This window comes from Homo sapiens, chromosome 13 (genome assembly GCF_000001405.40).
Source record: "Homo sapiens chromosome 13, GRCh38.p14 Primary Assembly".
Classification (NCBI taxonomy): domain Eukaryota; kingdom Metazoa; phylum Chordata; class Mammalia; order Primates; family Hominidae; genus Homo; species Homo sapiens.
The window spans coordinates 72061992-72063594 of record NC_000013.11 but is presented as its reverse complement, the minus strand read 5'-3'; the positions used below and the strand labels follow the sequence as shown (position 1 = coordinate 72063594).

The window sequence follows — 1603 nt, the reverse complement described above, 5'->3', positions numbered from 1 at the left end:
TTTCAGCTCCATCAGGTCATTTATGTTCTTCTCTATGCTGTTATTCTAGTTAACAATTTGTCTAACCTTTATTCAAAGTTCTTAGCTTCCTTGCATTATGGCTCAGAGGAGTTTGTTATTACCCACCTTCTGAAGCCTACTTCTGTCAATTCATCAAACTCATTCTCCATCCAGGTTTGTTCTCTTGCTGGCGAGGAATTGTGATCCTTTGGAGGAGAAGATGCATTCTGGTTTTTGGAATTTTCAGCCTCTTTGCACTGGTTTCTTCCCATCTTCATGGATTTATCTGCCTTTGGTCTTTGATGTTGGTGACCTTTGGATGGGGTCTCTGGGTGGACATCCTTTTTGTTAATGTTGATGCTATCCCTTTCTGTTTGTTAGTTTTCCTTCTAACAGTCAGGCCCCTCTGATGCAGGTCTGCTGGCATTTGCTGGACGTCCACCGTGGACCCTGTTTGTCCCTGTATCACCAGTGGAGGCTGAAGAACAGCAAATATTGCTGTCTGTTACTTCCTCTGGAACCTTTGTCCCAGAATGCCAGCCAGAGCTCTACTGCATGAGGTGTTTGTTGGCCCCTACTGGGAGGCGTCTCCCAGTCAGGATACACGGGGGTTAGGGACCCACTTGAGGAGGCAGTCTGACCCTTAGCAGAGCTCGAACGGTGTGCTGGGAGATCCACTGCTCTCTTCAGAGCTGTCAGGCAGGGACATTTAAGTCTGCTGAAGCTGTGCCCATTGTCTGACCACAATGGCCTTGCTGAGCTGTGGAGGGCTCCACCCAGTTTGAACTTCCTGCCAGCTTTGTTTACATTGTGAGGGTAAAACAGCTTACTCAAGCCTCAACAATAGGAAACGCCCTTCCCCGACCATGCTCAGGCATCCCAGGTCGACCTCAGACTGCTGTGCTGGCAGCGACAATTTCAAGCTAGTGGATCTTAACTTGCTGGGCTCCTTGGGGTGGGACCCACCACGCCAGACCACTTGGCTCCCTGGCTTCAGGCCCCTTTCCAGGGGAGTGAATGGTTCTGTCTCATGGGCATTCCAGGTGCCACTGAGGTATGGAAGAAAAAAAACTCCTGCAGCTATCTCAGTCTCTGCCCAAACAGCTGCCCAGTTTTTGGCTTGAAATCCAGGGCCCTGGTGGCATAGGCACCGGAGGGAATCTCCTGGTCTGCAGGTTGCAAAGATCATAGGAAAAGAGCAGTATCTGGGCCAGAGTGCACCATTCCTCATGGCACAGTCCCTCACGGCTTCCCTTGGGTAGGGGAGAGAATTCCCCAAAACCTTGTGCTTTGCAGGTGATGTGATGCCCCACCCTGCTTCGGCTCACCTTCCGTGGGCTTCACCCACTGTCCAACCAGTCCCAGTAAGATGAACTGGGTACCTCAGTTGGAAATGCAGAAATCACTCGCCTTCTGCATGGATCTTGCTGGGAGCTGCAGACCAGAGCTGCTCTTATTTGGCCATCTTGCCAGCAAATGCCCACATGTTATTTAAGTTCCATATGTTTTTACAGTTTCCAAATTCCTCTTGTTATTTATTAGTCATTTTATACTACTGTGGTCAGAGAAGATGCTTTATATTATTTCAATTTTCTTTGAATGT

General features: G+C 49.0%; 1 annotated feature.

The window, feature by feature from the left end:
* Positions 505-1046: an enhancer, noted in NCBI's record as "OCT4-NANOG-H3K27ac-H3K4me1 hESC enhancer chr13:72636687-72637228 (GRCh37/hg19 assembly coordinates)". NCBI's record gives its function as "activates a minimal SCP1, AML or CMV promoter by ChIP-STARR-seq in naive H9 embryonic stem cells {active_cell/tissue: H9 hESC(naive)}" and the evidence as "EXISTENCE:reporter gene assay evidence [ECO:0000049][PMID:30033119]".